Raw genomic sequence first — 21,388 nt, forward strand, 5'->3', positions numbered from 1 at the left:
TCACAGAGAGGAAGCAGGTGTGAGACTACGGTGATCAGCTTTAGCACTGAGGAGCTTTCTGGCTGTCTCGGAAGAGAAGTTCATGGGCAGCAACACTCAGCGCCACCTTGTATGTGTGTGGAGTAGGGGGCGGGTTGATGGGGCAGTGGGGCTTCCCCTCCAGCTCCGTCCCACGGAGGATGGGCCTTGGAGGGGCTGAACAAAAATTGGCAGAATTTGCGCCTTTTCCACCTCCCAAAGAGAACCCAGTCCAGGCCAATGGAAGCCCAAAAAGTAGGGGGCAACCCCTGCAGCTGGTAGGGCGACCCCAGCTCCCACTCCAGAAAGGCCTCATAGAAATCCTCACTCAGCTTTCTTTTTCAAGCTGCCGACACTTCAGATGAAACCCTCAGCTCAGCTTGGAGCTGTCAGGCTGTGTGGATGCTGGGGACTGATTGGTCCAGCCAGATCTTCTTCCCAATTCTGGGTGCCCCAAGAGGCAACTCAAAGCCCTCCCCAGAACTGTCCGAAACCCACAGGCACAGTCCAGCCCACTGCCAGACAAGGAGCCTAAGACCTGACTCCAGGGACTCAGGGACAGGAATGGCCATGCCTCGGGGGTCCAGCCTATTCACTGCAGTAACTACAGACAAGCACCTGGTCCCAGGTGGGCTTGAGGGAGATCGACGTTGCCTCCTTGGGCCACCGGGCACAGGCTGCACCACCACCACTGGTGTGATGCCAGATGTGGCGCTAAGATCAGCAGGTGGCCCGCTGCGCGGGGCCCTTTCAGGCCCCCCATCATGGAGGGCTGTGGGAGGCCAGTGCAGGTCAAGAGGCACAACCGTCTTTCCCAGTCCATGTCCAGAAGCGTCCGCAGACATGGCCCCCAGCCCTGGGTCCTCATCTGCTGGGCCCGCTCATCCCACCATGCAGAAGCGTCAAGTGACTTGAAGCCCAGCATGAATAGGAAGTGAATAGGCCCTCGGGCAGGTCCGAGTCCAGGCATCCCTGGGCTCCCAGGCCCAGGGCATCTAGAGCTAAAGGGAGCTCCTTAGCGCTCCCCCTCAACCCCGCCGCCGGCCCCAACACACACATTGATGGCCGAGGGCCTGAATGCTGTTGGGGAGTCTGGGCAGACCCCAGCTTCAAAACTCATGCAAATTCACCACTCCACTCCATAATACATCTGAATGTATTTTAATATAAAAATAACAGCTTTCCCCCAATTCTCGCTCTAGGAAAATGTGCTATGCTCACCTTCCCTCTACCCCTGTCCCATCAGGCCCAGAGCCAAGGCCATAGGGCTGCTGAATACACATGTGAGGGGGCCGAGGGGAAGACAACAGTACCAGGAGGGCAGGCAGGGCACCCCCAGGCTGGCCAGTGGAGGGGTGAGGGTATCGATCCCGCCGGGGGCTGGCTTGGTTGCTGGTGCCCTGAGCCCTTCTCTGCCCGCCTGGGTGTTGCCTTCACTGATGGAGGTAGGCGTCCAGCCAGATGTCACCAGACTTCTTCAGGGACCTGGGAGGTGGGGGTGGCAGTGGGGGTGGGTGTTAGGAGCTCAGTTGCAAGATCCTAACACCCCTGTATCCCCCATGGTAAGTGTGAGCGGAGATCCCCATTCCCTGTGGGTTCCCTTCCCTGGGGGCAGGCAGCGATGCGGGCTGGAGGGTGGGTTGGGAGAACAGCTGAATGCTCATTCTCTGGAATGGAATCTAGACCGGGGTGACGGGTGTCGGGTAGGGGAGCTGGAGGGCAGCCAAGGCCAAGTCCAGGCATGAGCCTGGGTGGGCCTGTCCCTCCTGCACCCAGTTCTCCATTGCTGCCTCCTGCTGGGCGCTGCAACCCAAGGACAGAGAGGACGTGGAACCTGCCCACCCGATCTTGGGCCTGATATTGGTCAGTGGAGCCAGAAATGTCAACAATCTGCTAGGAAGCCCTGTGCCAGGCGCTCTAAAGGGCTGTGCCAAATGGCAGGGGCTCAGAGCATCAGGCTGGGAGAGATCATGAAGGAGAAGTGGGCATCTGAACACCAGCACAGGAAGGAAGGGCAACCAAGTAAGGGGAACAGCGTGTACAAAGGCGCAGAGGTATAAGACCTGGAATCTGGCCTCTGTTCTCCACCTCCAAGGTGACCACAAGGGCTGAGCCCCATCACCCCTCGCCTGGATGGCTGCAGTGTCCTCTGCTCTCCTTTTCCACTTCGACTCCTGCCCGCCAGTCATTCCCAGTAGGGGCAGCTTTCCAAGATGCAAGCCGGGCGTGTCCCTTCTCTGAGTGCCTGCATGCCTGCCTCGGCTATCTATGCCATGAGCTTGGCATTCAGGGTCAAGTGCCCTCTGCCTGAACGCTCTTTGCCAGATGTCCCTGTGGCGAGACCTCTCCCCTCCTCCCTGTCCCTGCTCACACGTCAGCCTGTCAATACTGCCCACCCTACCACCTATTTAGAAACTGCCGCCCCTGCCTGGCCGCCCCCCTCCCCTCCCCTGTCCCCACCCTGAGGGGCTTTTCATTGTTCTTTTGCCCATCTTCTGTAATGTACTTATTTGTTATTTTAATTGCTTGCTGTTTCCTTTGCTGGAAGGAACATCAGCTCCAAGAGGGCAGGAAGCTCTCTAGAGCCTGCATTGCTACAAGGGCAATGCCATCTTCAAGCAAAACTGTCTGATGACCGATGCTTGACCCTGAATGCCAAGCTCATGGCATAGATAACCTCCTCTTGTAGACGCTTATCTAACCTCCAGTGGTCACCAGGTTCATAAGAACCACCTGCATGGGGTTCACCCTAAAAGCTTGCTATATAGAGGGTTCTTTCTAGAGGGCGTGTGAGGGGATGTCCCAACTCTTGGCTGCCTGAGACATGGTTTTTTTGTTTGTTTTTGAGAGAGTCTTGCTCTGTTGCCCAGGCTGGACTGCAAAGGCACAATCTCAGCTCACTGCAACCTCCGCCCCTGCGAGTTCAAGTGATTCTCCTCCCTCAGCCTCCCAAGTAGCTGGGATTATGGGCACCTGCCACCACACCCAGCTAATTTTTGTTTTTTTTTTTTTTTTTTTTTTTTTTTTTTTTTAGTAGAGACGGGGTTTCACCATGTTGGCCAGGCTGGTCTCGAACTCCTGACCTCAAGTGATCCGCCCACCTCAGCCTCCCCAAGTGCTGGAATTACAGGCGTGAGCCACCGCACCCGGCCCTGAGACATGGCTTCTGTTTATGAGTCCCTGTTAAGTGTTTCCTTCTGAGAAACTGGATCTGTTAGCTTCTTTCCCTCAGCCTTTGGGGGTAGGTTTGCATAGACCTGCTCACCGCAGGCACTGCTGTTTGTGAGTCTGCAGTAGGTGCTCCAGAAATTCTCACTGTGTGCGTGAAGGCTGGGGAAGGGAGGAAGGGCATGGGACGTGGACAGAAAGGCTCAGGGACCCTGGGGGCTCAGCATGAGGCTGACCTGGACAAGGGTAGGCATAGGCCCTGGGGAAGCCACCAGAACAGAGGGGCCGGGCTGCAGCCTCACCTGACGATGTCCACCAGCGCGGTGAGGAAGGGCTTCACTTCGTAGCTGAGGCCGTGCTTGGCACACAGCGACTTGACCAGCGGGGCCACCCGGCTGTAGTTGTGTCTCGGCATCCTGGGGAAGAGGCTGGGGGTGGGGAGCGTATGCTGGCACCTGAAGTGGGAGATTCCAGAGAGAGGCCCCACCCACGGGTCCCCTCCCAGGATCCCCTCCCAGGACCCCCTCCCCACCTCCCACTGGCCCCCAGCACCCACACTCACTGGTGCTCGATCTGGAAGTTGAGGTGCCCGCTGAACCAGTTGGTGAAAAGTGAGGGCTCCACGTTGCAGGTGGCTGCCAGCTGCCGGAAGCCGGCGGGGCACATGTGAGGAGGCCGTTGCAGATCCCTGACCCCACGGCACCATCCCCCACCTGGCAGCCCCGTCAGGGCCTCATCCCTGCTTTGCCATCTGGCTCCTAGCTGGGACCCCCCACCCCACCCAGGATGGGCCCCACCCCTGCTGCCCACCTGAGAGCTGACCCAGTCCCGGTGCTTCTCGTGGCCGATCTCCTTGGGGATGTGGTTCATCTGTGTGATCCACACGAACCAGTGGCTTTCCAGGACCCTGTGGGGAGGCTCGGGCACTGCCCTAGGTCCAGCTCACCACTTAGGCACCCTGAGTGGAGGCTGGAGAGCAGCTGTCCCCAAGTGGCCTTGACTTCCTTATCTGTACAATAGGATTGTGGCCATCGCCCCCTTGCCAGTGTTTAAAGAATCTGAATGGAGCAGTGTCCACTGTGAGGCTGAGTCCAGAGCAGCTCCGACACCCACCGGGCCACTTACAAGCCAGGCCACGCTCCCTAAACCCACCGACCCTGGGCTCCTGCCACGCTTGTGTTTATGTGATTCCACCAGCAAGCCAGGGAGGCAGTACCACTGGCCCCATTCTGCAGACGGGAAAAGGGAAGCTCTGGTGGGGGGCTGCAGTGGGGGTCACCTGTCGCCTGTGTGTGACCTCGCCACTCCCTGCCATACCTGACAGCAACAAAGAAGAGCAGCACCCCAGGGACGCCGTAGAAGGGGAGGTAGGATAAGAAGAAGCGGGCATAGAAGCTGGCGGCCCAGAGCAAATCCTGCAGAGGAGGGCAGAGGCGATACCGAGAGGTCTCCAGGTGCCCGGAGGTCTGGAGGCCTGGTGGGTGGGAGGAGGACCTCAGGCATCCAACCCTTCTGCCTGATTTGCCTCAGAGCCCAGGACAGGCCACCACCCTCTCTGGTTTTCTCAGCTGAGTAAAGGAACAGGGTCCTTGCCCTGCCAGCTCACGAGGCTGATTTTAGTGACGAAGGTGTCATGCAGGGTGTGTTGGGGAAGACCCTGCCAGGGACACAGATGCCTGGCAGAGTCAGCCCAGCAACTCCTCCTGGGAAGACACCCTCACCGAGAGAGACCCACACCCCCCCTGTTCCTCAACCCCCCCCCACCACACGTACAGTCACGGGCACACTCGCTCTCCTGCTGCGCGCACACATGTGAGCCACACTGTTGCACGCATACATGTGAGCCACACTGTTGCACGCACATGTGCACCCTGTTTGCCTTCATGGGCAGGTACTGTCCCCCGAGGCACCACCTCCTGCCACGGCAGCCGTATGCCCGGGGTCCTGGGCAACCCCACTCACCGCCCACTGCATGCACACCAGCATGTACGCCAGATTTTCCACTTCAAAGTTCACCAGGGTGAGCAGCGGCGGGCCGACTGCAAGAAGGGGCATGAGAGTGTTCAGGAGTGGGGCTGGGCTGCCAAGGTGAGTGGGCGCCAGAGTGAGGGGCTCTGTTACTCCAGGAATGCCCCTGGGACGTTGGTGCTGGTCACATCCAGCTGAATGACCCCATATCACCCCCAATTCTGTGTCCAAGCCTCCCCAGGCTGCCCTTACCCCACCACCTCCCACCACCCTTCACCGCAAGTCAGGGCCAGACTTGAGTCCTCACTCTGTCCGCCCCAACAACTGCCCAAAGACTCTAGGGCTCCGGACCACTCTAGTGAGGGCAAGAAGAAATTCTACGTGGGGCTTGGGGAAGCTCCCAGCAGGGCTGTGATGGCCCGTGGCTGCAAGGTGTCCCAGGCACGGGAGACAGCTGGGGCAAAGGCATGCTGCTGGGAGAGTGTGTACAGACTGCAGAGGCTGGGAGGATGCCATGACCAGGGAGACCTGACAGACGTGCCCCGCCCCAGGAAGTGGCTGGGAGTGGTCCAGGACAGCAGGGAGGACAGTGCAGGCCCAGGCACTCCCCCACCCCAGAAGGACAGATGGACACTCACTCAGGAAGAAGTACAGGTGCTGCTGGTTGTAGGGTAGGTATCTGCGTTTCTTCTTGCCATACTGTGGAGACAGGCGGCGGCTGGAGACAGCAGCTCTCCAGGCCACCTCCTTCTCCCGGGCAAGGTCACGGGGCTGGCTGGGGCCAAGGGTCAAAGGCAACTCTAGATTCTAGCAAGCGGGCTGGTCGTCCCCAGCAGGTTGGGAGGTGGGAAGGAAAGACACGGGGGCAGAGCTTGGCCCAGCCAGAGTGGAGGCCAGATCAGGGGCTAGGTCAGGGGCAGAGTGGGGACCCAGTGCATTAGCTCCCCCTCAGCTGCAGGCCCAGCCAGAGGTTGTCCACGTCCCTCCCCACCCACCTCGACGGATGACTCCCCCAGGAGGAAGACGGGCGCCACCGTCACGTCTGGGTCTTTGTGGAAGATGTTGGGCTTGGCGTGGTGCTGGAAGTGGCGGAAGTTCCACCAGTGGGCGGAGAAGCCCTGTGGAGGAGGAGGGGGCTCTCAGGGCAGGCTGTGCCCCCGACTGTGCCCACACACTTGGGCAGACCCAGCGCCACCCAGCACCTGGCTGACCACCCACCCCACCCTCACCTTTAGCTGCCCCATCACGAACTTCTGGGCCACGTGGTTCCACCAGGACTTCTTGAAGATGGAGGCATGGCCCAGGTCATGCTGCAGACACCAGGACTGAGCCTGGGGAGAGAGGCAGGGTCAGAAGCTGTTGGGAAGGACGGAGCCCGCCAGGGCCTGGGGCCCCAGTGAATCCTTTCAGCTTGCAGGGTACCCCCGTGCTAATGCTCCATTTCAAGACCCTTGTGGGCCAGTGTCCTCTTTTTACAGATGAGAACTGAGTCCCAGGGAGGTGGAGGGGCTCGTAAGTGTCATGAAGCTGCAGGGCAGCAGCCTCTGGCTCAGTGGCCCTGTGCTTGATCGGAATCTGTTCAAGAAGGAACTTCTTGGCTCATCTGGAATGCAGCTTGACCCACAGACATGCCTGATGGGCCTTCAGACTGTTCACTCATTCATCTGTTTATTCATCCATTCATCCTTTCATAGGTCCATTCATTCATTTAGCAAATATGTTCACAATGCCCAGATGCATGGGGGCCCACGTCTGTTGGGCAGTTAAGGTGGCTGCAACACAGAACTGGGGTCACCTGAGAGATGGCCAGGATGAAGGCGGCCAGGGCACTGGGCACCCAGCCAGGACCCAGGAGGTAGATAAGGAGCCAGGCCAGCACCTCCATGGCCAGGATGTGGCCCAGTAGGAAAGCAAAGAAGGTGGGACTGGCATCAAACAGCTTCATGTCCTCGGCTGCCTGGTGCAGGGCTCGGAAGTCCTCGACCAGCTGCGCCTGCCATAGCAGAGGGGCCGATCAGCCAAGGAAGAAATTCCTCCCCACCCCCATTCTCCTGGAGCCCCAGCCGCTCCTCCCATCGCCAGGCCCAAGGGGTGTGGGCAAAGAGGAATGAAGTGACAAGAGTACCCAGCCCGGGGTGTGAGCTGGAGCACTGGCTGGTGGTGAAGCCTCCTCTCCCTCCCAAAAGGTATGGGGTGGGTAAGACGCTACAGCCAGGAGAGAAATCAGTTCATCAAAATCCTCCTTTTGATGGGGACACTGGGCGACAACAGGGAGGGAGCTTGCCTCGGGATCCAAACGGGTGCCTGGCTAAACCAGATCTGGAGCCCTGGACTTCTCAGGGCATCCCTACAGCTTCACTTTCAACTGCCTGCCCCCTGGGAGGGGAGGGCAGGCTCAGCCCTGGCTCTGCATCCCCTTGGGCGAATGCCGAGGGAGCTGCTCCTGGCCATGTGGCAATGTCTCCCAGCCCTCCAGCCATCCCCCTCCCTCAGGGGCTGAGCCTCTCCTAGGGCTCTGGCTCACATTCAGGGGTCCATCCTGGCTGGGTTCTTCCGGAGCCAGCTCTCCAATCAACAGGGGCTGTAGGAACTTGCGCACAAAATTGAGATCTTGATGGAAGGCACGGAAGGCATCCTGAAGGAGAGCAGACAGTCAGGCGGACAGACAGACACAGCTGAGTAGCACAGCGGCAACCAGCAGAGACAGGCGGAAGGACTACGGATGGATGGGCAGAGCAGACGACAGGCGGACAGGAAGTCAGCCGGCTGATGAACAGTCAAAGACATGGGCCCTCCCTGGTCCTCCCAGGGCCCCAGGTTGTCCTGCTTTTCACCCATTGCCTGCTGTGCCCCATCCACTTCACCCAGCACAAGGGCCCCTCTCTGAACACGGTCAAACATCTGCAGCTCTGGATTTACAGAAAGACCTCCCGGGAAGACTTTGATTTCTTGAACCACGAAAAAAGGTTCTGCTTTTCCAAAAAGCTTAAGTCATACAAGTTTCCACTGCATGTAGAATAAGATCTGGGTCACGAACATTTGATTTACCCCGTTTTTATAAACATAAGCAGTGGGTGAAGGGTAGGTGGGAAAACCTGGAACTGAGGACCACTGGGTCACGGGGCGGGGGGATCAGTCAAGGGCGACACACATTGAGTCCTTGGGGGTTTGCAAGGAAGACACTTGAACAGTTAAACTGATTTGACTTACAAAGCAGGAAGCAGGAGCACAAAACATAATTTTTTTTTTTTTTGAGACAGTCTTGCTCTGTTGCCCAGGCTGGCATGCAATGGCATGATCTCAGTTCATTGCAACCTCTACCTCCTGGGTTCAAGCAATTCTCCGGTCTCAGCCTCCGGAGTAGCTGGTCTCAAACTCCTGACCCCAGGTGGCCAAGCTGGTCTTTAACTCCTGACCTCAGTTGATCTGCCCACCTTGGCCTCCCAAAGTGCTGGAATTATAGGTGTGAGCCACCGCGCCCAGCCTAATTTTTTTTTTAAAGTAAATAAAATGGGCCAGGCATGGTGGCTCACATCTGTAATCCCAGCACTGTAAGAGGCCAAGGCACGAGGATTGCTTGAGGCCAGGAGTTCAAGACCAGCCTGGGCCACATAGTGAGACCTTGTCTCTATTTTTACAAAAAAGAAAACATCATAAATAAAATGAATAATCCAACATTCTCGCGATTCTGTGTAATAGCTGGAGTGGGGGTGGAGTACGATGCAGGAGAAGGAAGAAAGAGTAAAGAAAGGGGGTGAGAAGAGAAGACAGACCAGGAGAAAGATAAGGGCCAGGGAAAGAGACCAGCCAGGAAGTGGCCCAGAAGTAAAGTAAGCTTGAACTTCACACCTGGGCTCACTTAGCCTTCCAGGTCTGCCTGTGGTCTTGGTATTGTAATCGGCTCACTAATTGTTCACAGCTCTTGGACTGATTTTTTTCCTTGTACTTTCAGAGGCTTTCTCTGAATGGGCTAGCCAGAGCCATACAGCAGCTTATAGAACCAGTAGCTGGGTGGTGTTGTCCCCATGGGTCTGGAGAAGGGAGGCCTCCCAGTTGCTAAAGGAAACACCTTTGAAGAAAGCTGACTGAGGACAGGGGCCTCCTATTGTCCTCTTGCTAATGAGCCTACCAGCTGGTGAGTCTTAAAACGGAAGTGACAGCGGGCCCTGAAGTCACTGCCAGGACATTCTCCTACCACCCTGGGGGAAGAAAGCACTTCAGGCCCCTCCAGCACCCACTAAGAGGTAACACCTACATGATCTACTAGGGGTCCCCTTGCCTGCTTTTATAGGCCCAGGGCAGCTTGGGGACTGGGGGGCTGGTAGGGTGCCCCTTCTGGAATAACCTGGGCTGACTTGGCTCACTCATTACAGAGGAGGGGGCTGTATAAGTGCAGATCTCACCCCCTCTGGACATGAGTCTTGAAGGAGGGGCAGCAAAACTGGTAGAAAAAAGGGCAGAGGGAAGGCTGGGGGTCCCCAGGAAGCTGTCTGGGCCCCCAGCTACCTGCAGAGCTGGGGCTGGTGTACAGGGGAGCTGGGAGGGAAGAAGACTCTTGGGGTTCTACTGACCCCACTGGGTGTTTTTTTTTTTTTTTTTTTTTTTTTTTTTTGAGATAGGGTCTTGCTGTATCGCCCAGGCTAGAGTGCAGTGGTGCAATCATGGCTCACTGCAGCCTCAACCTCCCGGGCTCAGGTGATCCTCCCACCTTAGCCTCTCTCGTAGCTGTTAGTACAGGTGTGCACCACCATGCCCAGCTAATTTTTTATTTTTATTTTTTGTAGAGATGAGGTTTGCCATGTTGCCCAGCTGGTCTTAAACTCCTGGGCTCAAGCAATCCACCCACCTCAGCCTCCCAAAGTGCTGGAATTACAGGAATGAGCCACCACGCCCAGCCCAGAAAAACACTGAAAAATTTTTTTGAGACAGGGCCTCACTCTGTCACCAGGCTGGAGTGCAGTGATGCAATCACAGCTCACTGCAGCCTTGAAATCCTGGTCGTAAGTGATCCTCCCACCTCAGCCTCCCCAGCAGCTAGGACTACAGGCACATGCCACCATGTCTCATTAACTTTTGAATTTTTTTGTAGAGTCAAGGTCTCACTATGTTGCCTAGGCATGTCTTAAATGCCTGACTTCAAGCGATCCTCCCACCTCAGCCTCCCAAAGTGTTGAGAGTACAGGTGTGAGCCACACCTGGCCTCTAATTTTTTTATTTATCTTTTATTTTTTGAGACAGAGTCTTGCTCTGTCGCCCAGACTGGGTTGCAGTGGCATGATCTCGGCTTACTGCAACCTCCACCTCCCAGGTTCAAGAGATTCTTGTGCCTTAGCCTACTGAGTAGGTGGGATTAGAGGTGCAAGCCACCACACCAGGCTAATTTTTGTATATTTCGTAGAGTCGGGGTTTCACCATATTGCCCAGGCTGGTGTTGAACTCCTGAGCTCAAGCAATCCTCCCGCCTTGGCCTCCCAAAGTGTTGGGATTACAGGCATAAGCCACCACGCCCAGCCAATTTTTTAAAAATTGTAGTAAAATATACATGAAATTTACCATTGTAAGCATTTTTAGGTGTCCAGCTCAGTGGTATTAAGTGCATGCACAGTGTTGTCCAACCATCACCATCATCCAGCTCCAGAACCTTTTCACCTTCCCCAACTGAAACTCTGTCCCCATTAAACACTAATTCTCCATTCTCTCCTCCCCCTGCCCCGGCAACCACCATGCTACCTTCTGTCCATACAGATCTGCCTCCTCCGGAAACCTCATCTGGGAGAAATCACATGTTTGTTCCTTTGCCTCTGGCTTGTTTCACTCAGCACAATGTCCTTAAGGTCCATCCATGTTGCAGCACGTGTCAGGATGTCCTACCTTTTTAAGGCTGAGCCAGCGTGATGGTGAGTCCCTCTTTCTCCTTTGAAACTCCCCAGACACACACGCACATGCAGACACACCCACCAGCCCACACCAGCAGGCATCACTCAGACACTCAGAAACATGCCCACAATCACGGCCCACATGAACACTCAGCCAAACACAGCCTTGCACACATGGTACGCAAAGATGCAGCTGGCACGCACAGACACACCCGGCGCAACGTGCAAGCTGTGGCTGCGGCCCCAGAATCTCCTCCCTCCCAGCCCTTCCCTCTATCACCCCATGTCAGTTCTGGGGCCACCTTATTGAGCTGAGGATCTTGGGTCCAGATTGGTCTCCTCGCCTCCTTTCCCGTTGGTCCTGATTCACCCAGGCCAGCCCTGTCGAGGCACTGACAGGGGAGGACAGAACCAAGCCTGCCCCAGGGCCTTCAAGCCAGATCTACCCCTTGCAATGATAAGGGGAAGTGTGAGCCCCCTCAGGGCTGTGTCAGAGAACCCCAAAGCCATTGACAGGGCTCCAGCTGGGGAAGGGACAGGTGGGGCTGTGACAGTTCCCTGGGAAGCAGGCTGGGCTCTCAGAGCTGGGTGGGCACCCTGGGGCTGTGCTTCTCATGCTATCAGGGAGTGCGAGTAGGGCAGGGGCCTGGACTCAGGCCGAAACCTGGAAGCAAACAGCCTTCTCTGGAACTGGCTGAGGTCATGTGACCTGGTCCTCTGTGGGCCTCTCCTTAAGGATGGGGGTGCCAGGCAGAAGCTAAGACTCAGAGAGGTTAAGCTACTTCTTCAAGGTCACACAGTTCCATTTGACCGAGGTTAGATCAGAGTCCAGGTCTCTTCTCACTCATAAGTGAGAGTTGAACAATGAGAACACATGGACACAGGGAAGGGAACATCACACACCGGGGCTTACTGGGCGGGTGAGGGGCAAGGGGAGGGAGAGCATTAGGACAAATGCCTAATGTATATGGAGCTTAAAACCTAGATGAGGGGTTGACGGGTGCAGCAAACCACCATGGCACATGTATACCTATGTAACAAACCTGCACATTCTGCACGTTTCCCGGAACTTAAAGTGAAGAAAACAAAAACAAAAGCGAAAAACTGTGCTTGTCGCCACTCCTGGAACAGAGGGGAAGCAGCAGTTCTCCTAGGTGGTGTGCGGGGGTCCTTGCCGTGAGGCCAGTCACTATCTCAAGAAGCCAAGGGCCCAGCTGCTGGGAGCCTGGGCTGGGGGGCAGGAAGGCGGTTCTTGGACCTCATCAGTGGAGCCTCAGGGAACTGTGGGAGGTCCCACCCTCACACACCCTAAGTGCACCCAGGAACATCCACCCAGGGGTACGTGCACAAAGCCCTGTCCCCCCAACCCCCACACGCACCCAAGCGAGTGGAAAGCGGCACTCGACGTCTCTCATCGGGTACCGGAGCAGAGCTGGGTGAAAGTGCTGGAATCAAAACGGCACCCCTAAACACAAGCTCCTGGAGGTAGCGACAGGCTCTGTTCACAGTGGCATCCTCAGAGGCCGGCACAGAGCAGCTGCTCAACAGCAGGTATGAACAAGTAGACAAGAGCCAACCCTCCACAGCCCCCAAAGCAGGGGCACGAACCATTTTGCTGGTGAGGAAATGAAGGCTCAGCGGGAAGGGACACCTGCCCAGGTCCCAGTTAGTAGTGGCAGAGCTGGGATTCGAACCCGGGCCCATCTTCTGTGATGTTCATGCTCTCTCAGGATACAGAGACAGCTCAGCCTGGCCTTGGTCCCTGGAAGCCTAGAGTGGCTCAGTTGGCCCCAAGATCCCACGCCCTGCCCAAGCCCCACCGTGAATCCCACACAGCAGCTGGTCGGGGGGGTGTCCCAGAGCCAGCCTGCCCAGGATGGAACCTGAGCTGCTATCCAGGAGCCAGGGAGCCCCAGACAAGACCACACCCATCTCTCATCAGTATTTCTCATCAGTAAACTGGGAACCACAAATCCCCATCTCACAAGGCTGCTGGGAGGATGCAGTCGGTGGCGCTAAAGCACTTAGAAGGGGCCTGGCGGTTGGCAAGAGCTCCACAGCCCAGCTCTTTCTGAGCCCTGCAGCCCTGATGAGCCTCCTCCTGAGAGTCCACTTAGAGGTAAGTGCCTGCAGGAGGGGCCTACAGGTGTCAGGGAAGAGAGTGGAGAAGCTGCTTCTCTGCCTGCCTGTTAAGTCCTGGCCAAGCCTGAGGCTGGGAGAGAGGAGGGGCTGGCAGCCTCCTTCCACCCCAGAGACACAGCAGGGCAGGGAGGGATTTTGGGTCACTCCCTAGGAGAATCAAGAATGTGCCAGATCAGTCAGGAAGGGGGTGAAGCAGGGAGTGTGGCAGGGCTGCTGAGGGCTCAGGTGGTCGGGGTCTGTCCTCGCTGCCTTCTCATGCCTTTGTAGGATGTTGGGGTGACAGGGCTATGCCTCAAAGGACACCCCCAGGACATTCCTGCCTCTCCCCTCTCCCAGGTGGGTGGGTACAGCAGGAGCGTGCCCAGCACACCATGCTCCGTCCCATCCTCTCCCTGGCGCCCGTCAGAGGAGGCCAGTGGGGAAGCACTATCAGTATCCCATTTTACAGATGAGGAAACTGAGGCCCCAAGAGGTCCCAAAGAAACACAGCTCTAAACATGGGACATCCAAATTTGGCCTGTGTAGCGGAGCCCAAGTCGAAGGCAGACACCCCCAAAAAGCTACCCCTGTCCCCCAGCACCCCTCAATGTCCTGGTGAAGGGTGGGCATATATGTGAGGGCTCCTGCAGCCAGGACGCTTGGCCTCACAAGTGTCCCTGACCCCACAGTAGCCCCAAAGCAGCTATACCCTCTGGCTCCTGGTCCTCTCTCCACCACTGACCTCTGGCTCCACTACTGGAGCCTGGCTGTTTCATCAGAAACCCGCAGGAAGAGACCGGGAGGGATGCCCAGGGGCAGTATCCTGCTGACGCCAGACAATCCCAACTCTTCCCACAAGGAAGGAGCAAGGCACTGCAGCCCCTCTGGGGAAGGGGCCTGGGTGGGCGGTGGCCTTGCAGAAAACGCCTGCGGGGAGCCCAGAGCAGTCACACTTCATGGGAGTGGCCATTAGGGGACTTTCAAGGCAGTCAATGTGGTAGGAGGGAGTGGAGTGGCTCTGGAGCCACCCCCCAACCAACTCCTGTGGCCTCAGATCTGCCTAATCCTAGTCCTGTCCCTCCCCAGCTCCCACCCAGACACAAACCCCACCCTCGTGGCCCGAGTACAAAGGCCCTACCCTTCAAGGGTCCTGAGAAGGTTCCATTACACCCCCCAGTTTCAAACTCAGTCTCCTCATCTACAAAATGGGCTAACAATAGGACTTACCTCATAAAGTTGTTAGGCGAATTCAATCAGTTACCACATCTAAACCCCTCAGAACAGTGCCTAGTCAATAACTGTTGGCTGCAATTACTATGAAGCAGCCTCTGCTGCAGCACTGGCCACTCCCTCCTCCAGCTCAGGCCAGGCTCAGAGAACCACCTAGAAGGAGGGTCCTAAGGCAGAGGGCTCAGGGGGTCTGCTGGAACTTGGATTTTCCCACAGTTGTTAGGGCTTCAGCCGAAAGGGCACCAGGGGCTGCTGGGAAACTCCTCATCCGCCCTGAGTTGCTGTGGGCAATGCATTCACCACACCCATGAATAGAGCTTTGTTGCCCATGGTAACCAGGCACCCAGGTGCCCAGCACCACCCTCATAGTGTGCCCAGGACAAAAGCATTCTCATCCTCATCACACTAATGGGGAAACTGAGACCCAGAAGTGAAAGGATGTGTCCAAGATCATAGAGCGAGGCCAGGCTGGCTCCCTCTCTAAAGACAACATGAAGCTAAATCTAATGTGTCTAATGGCTCTCACTGGACCAGTGTGCCTGTGTCCACAGCCTCTCTTGCTCTCTGCCCTGGCCACACTCTACCTCTTCTGAGTGGCCTCCCTTGGGGGAGGGCAGGTCTCCATCCTCCCTTCTCTTACCCTTCTGGAAGGCTCTGCCTTCACTCTCTCCATTAAGGATCCTTTTAAATGTCCATCAGACTCCCCAGGCTTCCCTGCTGTGCTCTCTGGGGCTCCCCATCCTCTTTAAAATAAAGCCAAAGTCCTTCCGAGGACACAAACATCCAGCATGAGCCAGCCCGGCCGCCTCTAGACCTCACTGCCAGGCCCTCTCTCCACTGCTCTCTGCTGCAGCCATACTGTATTCCTGGAACACAGGACGCACGGTCCCACCTCTGAGCCTTTGCTCTAGCTGATCCCTCTGCTGTGAACTCATTCCCTGTAGAAGTTTTGCTCACAGCTACATCTTCAGAGGTGAGAACCATGCATGACACAGAGAAGATGCTCACTGATGGATTTAATGAGTCAAACATTGAAGAATCAATGAGTGCCGGAAATAAACAGGATAGGTGGCAGCATAGCATGCCCTTAAGAACATGGCTGTGGATTCAAATCCCAGACCAATCACTGAATTTCAAGCCACTTTGCCTCTCTGAGCCTCTGTTTTCTCATCTGTCAAGTGGCAATAACAATAAATGGTACGTGCCTCATAGGGGCACCTTGAGGATTAAAAGAGAGGGTTTCAATAAATCAAGTACTGATTTCAAAACCTGGCACATAGTAGGCACTCAGCACATGGCCCTTATATACTTATGGCCAGCAGCGGCTGGGCCTCATCCCTCCCTGGCTGGCTCCACTAGTATCAGGCTGCCTATGACTCTCAGACAAACCTGGCCAAGGGCCCAGAGTACTCTCCCCAGGGCACCCGGCCTTGTGTCCCAAGATGGCCACAGGCTGACTTCATGGCACAGAAACTCTGGGAATTTCCTGGCAGGAAGGCTTCATTGCCTGGACTTGAGAACAGCTGATGGGCAGCCGGGGCTGGTGAGAGGTGACCGCTGGAACACATCCCTGGCAACTGGCTGCCCCACCTCCACCTGAGGCCACCGCCCGGGATGGGATGCCTGGGGCCTGGGCTCAACTACACAGGGCACTGGGCTGGCCCAACCCCTGGTCTACCCTGTGGGTTCATCATGGACAAAGACTGATTGCACCATCCCAGCAACCTCACAGTCCCTTTGGCCTGAATGGACCAAGTATTTCTGGCAACTCTAGTCCAGGCTGTGGGGCCTTGAGGGAGCTAAGAGACAGCCTAAAGTGTCCCTTTCCTACTTCAGATAGGACCGTAACCAAATAAGGTCACCCAGGAAAGGGGTAGCCGTGCAGGGCTGTCCCACCATACGCTGCAGTTTGCAGGGCACGCTCACACTTAGGGGCCAGCAGCATTTACCGAATACAAACTACTACCTGGCAGCCCTGGGCCATGGGCTTGAGGAGACACAGTCCTGCCCTCAGCCAGCTCACTGTCTGCCCCAGCTCTCCCACTTTACAGATGAGTAAACTGGGGCACAGAGGAGTGACATGCCTGCTTCAAGGTCGCTCAGTGCCTCCAATAGCAGAGCTGGCACCCGGCCCCAAGGAGCAGAGAGATGTTTTTTGTTTGTTTGTTTGAGACGGAGTTTTGCTCTTGTTGCCCAGGCTGGAGTGCAATGGCGCGATCTCGGCTCACCGGAACCTCCGTCTCCTGGGTTCAAGCGATTCTCCTGCCTCAGCCTCCCAAAGTGCTGGGATTACAGGCATGCGCCACCACGCCTGGCTAATTTTGTATTTTTTTAGAAGAGACAGGGTTTCTCCATGTTGGTCAGGCTGGTCTCAAACTCCCGACCTCAGGTGATCTGCCCACCTCAGCCTCCCAAAGTGCTGGGATTACAGGTGTGAGCCACAGCGCTCGGCCTGAGATGTTTTTAAAACAGATATTATTGGCTGCGAATCAATGAGAAAACTGTGTGATGGAAGTCTCAGGATCCCAAGCTAAATGTTAAGTCAGTAATTCCACTTGGGAGGAACCCCAGCATGGGCCTGGCACCAGGCAGGAAACAGTGATGAAATAAAAGCTTTCTGTATCCCAGCCGGGCGTGGTGGCTCACGCCTGTAATCCCAGCGCTTTGGGAGGCCGAGGTGGGTGGATCACGAGGTCAGGAGTTCGAGACCAGCTTGGCCAACATGGTGAAACCCCGTCTCTACTAAAAATACAATATGCTGGGCGTGGTGGCGCGTGCCCGTAATCCCAGCTACTCGGGAGGCTGAGGCAGGAGAATCGCTTGAACCTGGGAGGCGGAGGTTGCAGTGAGCCAAGATGGCGCCATTGCACTCCAGTCTGGGTGGCAGAGCAAGACTCTGTCTCCGGCGGTTGGTGGGGAGTAAAGTTTTCTGTATCCATACTGTCCTCTAGGTTACAAAAGACTAGAGCAGGCCGGGAGTGGTGGCTCATGCCTGTAATCCCAGAACTTTCGGAGGCTGAGGCAGGAGGAATGCTTGAACCCAGGACTTTGAGACCAGCCCGAGCAACATAGTGAGACCCTGTCTCTATTTTTAAACAAATAATAATAAATAAAATAGATACTTTTTTAGAAAAAGACCAGAGCAGGCATCCACAAGACTCCTTGAAGGGAGGCCAGGGCTCAGCAAGGCCTTTGGGGAGAAGCCGTGCCCCTCACCTCGCCACGCCCTGGCAGAAAGGCAGGCACACACACCACACTCACCCAGACATGCAAACACCTGCACGCTCAAATACTGCCCCCAGGCTGCTTCATCCCACGGCTGTGCTGTCCCCTCGGGCCAGCGTCTGGCGCCTGAACAGCCACGGACAAGGCGTTCTCTTTTTTTTTTTTTTCTTTTTTTAGAATTTCAGGAGGATTCTTATTCTCACTCCTCAGCTTCATGGGGTGGAAGGGGAAAAGAGGGGCTTTCTTCCTCAAAGAGTCCAGTGAAGATTGTCCAACATGCTGGAGATGGCAATCGGCAGAGAGCAGGTGGCCCTGTCAAGAGGGACGCCGACAGTCCTGGGACTGGACAGAACCTCCGCTGCTGCCCAAAAAGCCAGCATTCAGGATTCATGTCCTCGGGTCTTGAAGACCTTCCTGATACCCAGTGTGGCCAACCTAGAAATTTGGAGGGTCAAGGACAGGGCATCGTGGCCCCAACCCCTATTATGCAGGTGGGTAACTAAGGAAAAGGGGCTGGTCGGGCTGCTCCACCACTGGACTCCAGCCAGACAGTACCCTGGGGCCAGGCTACATCCCTGCCTGTCTAGACAGGGGCTGGGATTGGGAAGTTGGGGTCCCCAGGGGCCAGCCTGTTCCTGGGGTGACTGTGCTTCCAGGAGAGGCCCACCCAGCCTGGCTGGCAAAGCCCTCCCACGTGCAGCTGCTAGCCCGGAGAGGTGAGTCACTGTCCCTGAGCCCTTTACAGAAGCTCTTGGGAAAGCCACAGACCTCAGGCCGGCCCAGCCCCCAGCCTCTAATGGCATGTCCTTACCGGCCCCTGGGGACCCTGCCCTGCCCTACCCCTAGCACTCAGCAAGCACCCAGCATGGGGACCCAGAACTGAAACAGGGACCTGGGAGCAACAGGGCAGCCCCTCACCCAGGGCAGGCTCTGCAGCATGACACACCCACCTCTGAGGCCCCCTCCTCCCCCGCAGACCTGCTCCGTGGACAGCTGCGGGTCCTCCACGCAGGGAACTGCCCTCCCTACCCCACATCTGGCCCTGGCTAGTCCACCCCAACTCTGGGTCCCGGCGTGGAGGTCAAAGGTCAGCGAGGGGAGGGAGGATGCTAAGGCCCCACAGGTGGAGCGGGACATCACGCCCACGACCGAGCTCCAGGCTCCACCCGCCGGTGGGTGGCTTCCTTATGGCTTCCTTACCGTGGCGTCCTCAGCGCCGTGGTGGCCGATGAGGCGGCTGCCCCCTGGGTGCCGCTGTGCCCAGCGGCTGATGTCGTAGACGCGGCGCTCGATGACCAGCCACTTGTCGCCGGGCTGGTCGTGCGCGCGGATCTGCTCCCAGCAGAAGGTGGGCAGCGGCGCCCCCGGCTGCGCGGGTCCCTCCCGCGGTCCCGGCTCCCCGACGCCGCCCATGCTGCACGCACGAGTCCTGGGGATCCCAGGCGGTGGCCGAGGTCCGAGCAAGACCCCGAGGGAAGCGAAGAGCGCTCCCGGGCGCCGCCTCCGCCGCCGCCCGCTGCTCCGGCCCCGCCCTGCCGCCGCGGCCGCCGTACGAGCGAGCGTGCGCCTCCCGGCTCGCGGCGCAGGGAACTCCCCGCCTTATAACCGCGCGGACGGCGCCCGCCTCGCCTCGCCTGCCCCCCCGCCCCCGGCCAGGCCCCGGCCCCCAAGGCTGGCTGACCCCCCGCGTCCGCTCCAATCCAGGCGCGGGGCCTCGGTCTCCATTGGCCGCCAGGGAGGGCGGCGTCGAGGCGGCCCGCCCCTCCCGGGAGGACAGCGGCCGCCACCCAGCCCTGCCCCGGGGCACCGTCCCGCCCCCTTTTCCCGGGCTGCCGGCTTCCAGGTTCTTGACTCCACCCGGAGCGCGGGGCCTGGGGACACAACACGCACCTGTTGGGCGTCCCGCAGCGCCTCGCCACGCCCTCGGGAACCGGAGGCGGAGTCCCGGTCTGTGAGCAGCGGGGCCTGGGGGGCTTCCAGCCGCGCGTCCTGCAACGTCAAATCCAGTGCGCCCAGAGGGGGGACGCTGTCTCGGGGTGCCTGTGAACAGCCTTCAAACCATGGGCCCCAATCTCTGCGGGGCCCCCACCGCCGCTGCAGCTCTCTCGGAGCCCTCTGCTGGGGGCGGGTGGCCTCCCCTCCGCCCTCGGCGCTGCAGGGCTGGGGATGCCCAGGGGTGGCCAAGGGGGAGGTAGGGGAGCAGGAGGGCACTGGCGCGTGGAGGCGGGCGCTGCCATCCATGGGCTGAGGACACCTGTGCTTGTTACTGCTTCCCCGCCCCTCTTTTTTGTTTTGAGACAGGAGTCTCACTCTGTCGCCCAGGCTGCAGTGTAGTGGCATGATGTCGGCTCACTGCAGCCTCAACATCCTAAGCTCAGGAGATACCCCCACCTCAGTCTCGGGAGTCCCCAGCTGGGACTACAGGCGCGCCCCATCATACCCGGCTAATTTTTGGTGTTATTTTATTTTTGTAGAAATGGGTCTTGCCATGTTGCCCAGGCTGGTCTTGAACTCCTGGACTCAAGTGACCCTCCCGCCTCCCAAAATGCTGGGATTACAGGCATGAGCCACTGCACCCGGGCCCCATCCGCTTTTTTTAATTTAAATACATTCAAGTCCTTTTGAAAGTGTAGGTAGCTCCCCTAATTGCTTCGGATTTCTTTGTGATAAATATACCTGTTCCTAAAAGTTAAGCGTTCACAGCAGCAAGGAATTCAAATCAGGCTAAAGTTACTTCCAGAGCGCTGGTCGTCAATCTTCCATCAGAACCACCTGAAAGGCTTCCATCAGAACCACCCAGGAGGGTTATTCGGTGGGTCTGGTGTGGAGGCAGAGACTTACATGGCCAGTTCACAGGTGATGCTGACCGGCTGGTTGGGGAAATGCACTTAGAAAACCCTAAGTATATTTCTCTGATATGCTAATATTTTGTCTTGGTCTAAAGAGGACCAGTATCCCCAGAAGGGCAGAGGGGGCGAGTTCTCCCTGGTACCAGGAGCTCCTGCCTTTGCTTGTCAGGACATCCAGCAAGGCCCATGATGTCATCAGGCACCGGGGCTGCCTGGGCCCTCTCCACTGAGGCACCCACTGACCATATCCTGGAACCCCAACCTGGCACATGTGTGTGGGGGTGCAAGAGCATGGCTGGTGGCCCTGGCCCAAGGGGGCTGCAGGCACCCCTACCCCGTACCATGTTCACACAGCACAGGAATGGAGAAGGCAGATTCTTGAAGGAATGCATCCCCTGCACCAAAATCCACTGAAGGCATGGACCTGGCCCTGGCCCCACCTTCAGCAGCCCTGAGTGGTCAGATGTGGCCATCCTAGGGGCTTCTTCCTTGGAGCCAGCCCTGGCCTGGTCTCAGCCCCTGTGTGTGAGGTGGTTGGGGGTTGTGATAGGTTAGAACCTCCACTTTCCCCAGCTGCCCCCAGAAGAGATGGGGAAGATGAAGGGGGGGCCACAGAATCATGCAAGAGCCGTGAGTGAGGGCAGGGATCACAGCCCTATTGGCCAAGTCCTCCTCGAAGGGATCACTGTGGAGGCCAGGCGGAGCTCCTCAGAATGCTCCTCAGGAAAGAGGGGCTGCACACAAATGGGCAACACACACACGAAAAGGTGCTCAGCATTGCTAATCATCAGAGAGCTGCAAATGAAACCACAATGAAATACTGTCTCACACTTGTTAGGAGGGCTCCTATAAAAAAGAAAAAGGCCTGGAATCCCACCACTTTGGGAGGCCGAGGCAGGAGGATTGCTTGAGCCCTGGAGTTCAAGACCAGCC

The 21,388-nt window shown here is 57.4% G+C and overlaps 1 protein-coding gene and 1 non-coding gene across 6 annotated transcripts, besides 9 other annotated features; both read right to left on the minus strand.

Annotated features, from left to right (window-relative positions):
- Nucleotides 1-1,163: 1,163 nt before the first annotated feature.
- FADS3 (fatty acid desaturase 3) lies at nt 1,164-19,862 on the minus strand. Of its 5 annotated transcripts, none has more exons than XM_017017724.1 (12): nt 19,497-19,862; nt 7,679-7,789; nt 6,950-7,147; nt 6,384-6,485; nt 6,150-6,272; nt 5,793-5,853; nt 5,149-5,225; nt 4,504-4,601; nt 3,997-4,093; nt 3,749-3,828; nt 3,489-3,614; nt 1,164-1,503 (listed from the first exon to the last, which is right to left on the minus strand). In XM_017017724.1, exons 1-12 carry the CDS (start codon nt 19,845-19,847, stop codon nt 1,452-1,454), a joined length of 1,476 nt encoding a protein of 491 aa, XP_016873213.1. In that variant the 5' UTR covers nt 19,848-19,862; the 3' UTR covers nt 1,164-1,451. The 5 variants fall into 5 exon arrangements, with proteins under 5 accessions (XP_016873213.1, XP_016873212.1, NP_068373.1 ...); XM_017017723.1 differs by having other exon boundaries at nt 3,489-3,641; NM_021727.5 differs by lacking the exon at nt 19,497-19,862 and adding an exon at nt 18,807-19,183.
- Nucleotides 2,315-2,863: an enhancer, noted in NCBI's record as "NANOG-H3K4me1 hESC enhancer chr11:61642149-61642697 (GRCh37/hg19 assembly coordinates)". NCBI's record gives its function as "activates a minimal SCP1, AML or CMV promoter by ChIP-STARR-seq in primed H9 embryonic stem cells {active_cell/tissue: H9 hESC(primed)}" and the evidence as "EXISTENCE:reporter gene assay evidence [ECO:0000049][PMID:30033119]".
- Nucleotides 5,854-5,916, minus strand: MIR6746 (microRNA 6746). Its single transcript, NR_106804.1, has one exon. It is a non-coding gene; the product is annotated as a microRNA 6746 (primary transcript).
- Nucleotides 6,805-7,514: an enhancer, noted in NCBI's record as "H3K27ac-H3K4me1 hESC enhancer chr11:61646639-61647348 (GRCh37/hg19 assembly coordinates)". NCBI's record gives its function as "activates a minimal SCP1, AML or CMV promoter by ChIP-STARR-seq in naive H9 embryonic stem cells {active_cell/tissue: H9 hESC(naive)}" and the evidence as "EXISTENCE:reporter gene assay evidence [ECO:0000049][PMID:30033119]".
- Nucleotides 15,411-15,912: an enhancer, noted in NCBI's record as "H3K4me1 hESC enhancer chr11:61655245-61655746 (GRCh37/hg19 assembly coordinates)". NCBI's record gives its function as "activates a minimal SCP1, AML or CMV promoter by ChIP-STARR-seq in naive H9 embryonic stem cells {active_cell/tissue: H9 hESC(naive)}" and the evidence as "EXISTENCE:reporter gene assay evidence [ECO:0000049][PMID:30033119]".
- Nucleotides 17,514-18,203: an enhancer, noted in NCBI's record as "H3K4me1 hESC enhancer chr11:61657348-61658037 (GRCh37/hg19 assembly coordinates)". NCBI's record gives its function as "activates a minimal SCP1, AML or CMV promoter by ChIP-STARR-seq in primed H9 embryonic stem cells {active_cell/tissue: H9 hESC(primed)}" and the evidence as "EXISTENCE:reporter gene assay evidence [ECO:0000049][PMID:30033119]".
- Nucleotides 18,204-18,892: an enhancer, noted in NCBI's record as "H3K27ac-H3K4me1 hESC enhancer chr11:61658038-61658726 (GRCh37/hg19 assembly coordinates)". NCBI's record gives its function as "activates a minimal SCP1, AML or CMV promoter by ChIP-STARR-seq in primed H9 embryonic stem cells {active_cell/tissue: H9 hESC(primed)}" and the evidence as "EXISTENCE:reporter gene assay evidence [ECO:0000049][PMID:30033119]".
- Nucleotides 18,204-18,981: a biological region, named in NCBI's record as "H3K27ac-H3K4me1 hESC enhancer GRCh37_chr11:61658038-61658726".
- Nucleotides 18,482-18,651: an enhancer, noted in NCBI's record as "active region_4803". NCBI's record gives its function as "activates an Ori minimal core promoter by ATAC-STARR-seq in GM12878 lymphoblastoid cells {active_cell/tissue: GM12878}" and the evidence as "EXISTENCE:reporter gene assay evidence [ECO:0000049][PMID:35858748]".
- Nucleotides 18,852-18,981: a silencer, noted in NCBI's record as "silent region_3406". NCBI's record gives its function as "represses an Ori minimal core promoter by ATAC-STARR-seq in GM12878 lymphoblastoid cells {active_cell/tissue: GM12878}" and the evidence as "EXISTENCE:reporter gene assay evidence [ECO:0000049][PMID:35858748]".
- Nucleotides 19,082-19,891: a silencer, noted in NCBI's record as "silent region_3407". NCBI's record gives its function as "represses an Ori minimal core promoter by ATAC-STARR-seq in GM12878 lymphoblastoid cells {active_cell/tissue: GM12878}" and the evidence as "EXISTENCE:reporter gene assay evidence [ECO:0000049][PMID:35858748]".

This window comes from Homo sapiens, chromosome 11 (genome assembly GCF_000001405.40).
Source record: "Homo sapiens chromosome 11, GRCh38.p14 Primary Assembly".
NCBI lineage: Eukaryota > Metazoa > Chordata > Mammalia > Primates > Hominidae > Homo > Homo sapiens.

Bases quoted from the DNA above. Each gene is read 5' to 3' on its own strand.
- FADS3 (XM_017017723.1), bottom strand. From the start codon at position 19,847: ATGGATGGCAGCGCCCGCCTCCACGCGCCAGTGCCCTCCTGCTCCCCT. The intron at 7,148-7,678 runs GTGAGCCAGAGC...CTGCTATGGCAG, and splicing joins GCCAGGATGGACCCCTGAAT to GCGCAGCTGGTCGAGGACTT. The intron at 6,486-6,949 runs GTGACCCCAGTT...CTCTCTCCCCAG, and splicing joins TCATCCTGGCCATCTCTCAG to GCTCAGTCCTGGTGTCTGCA.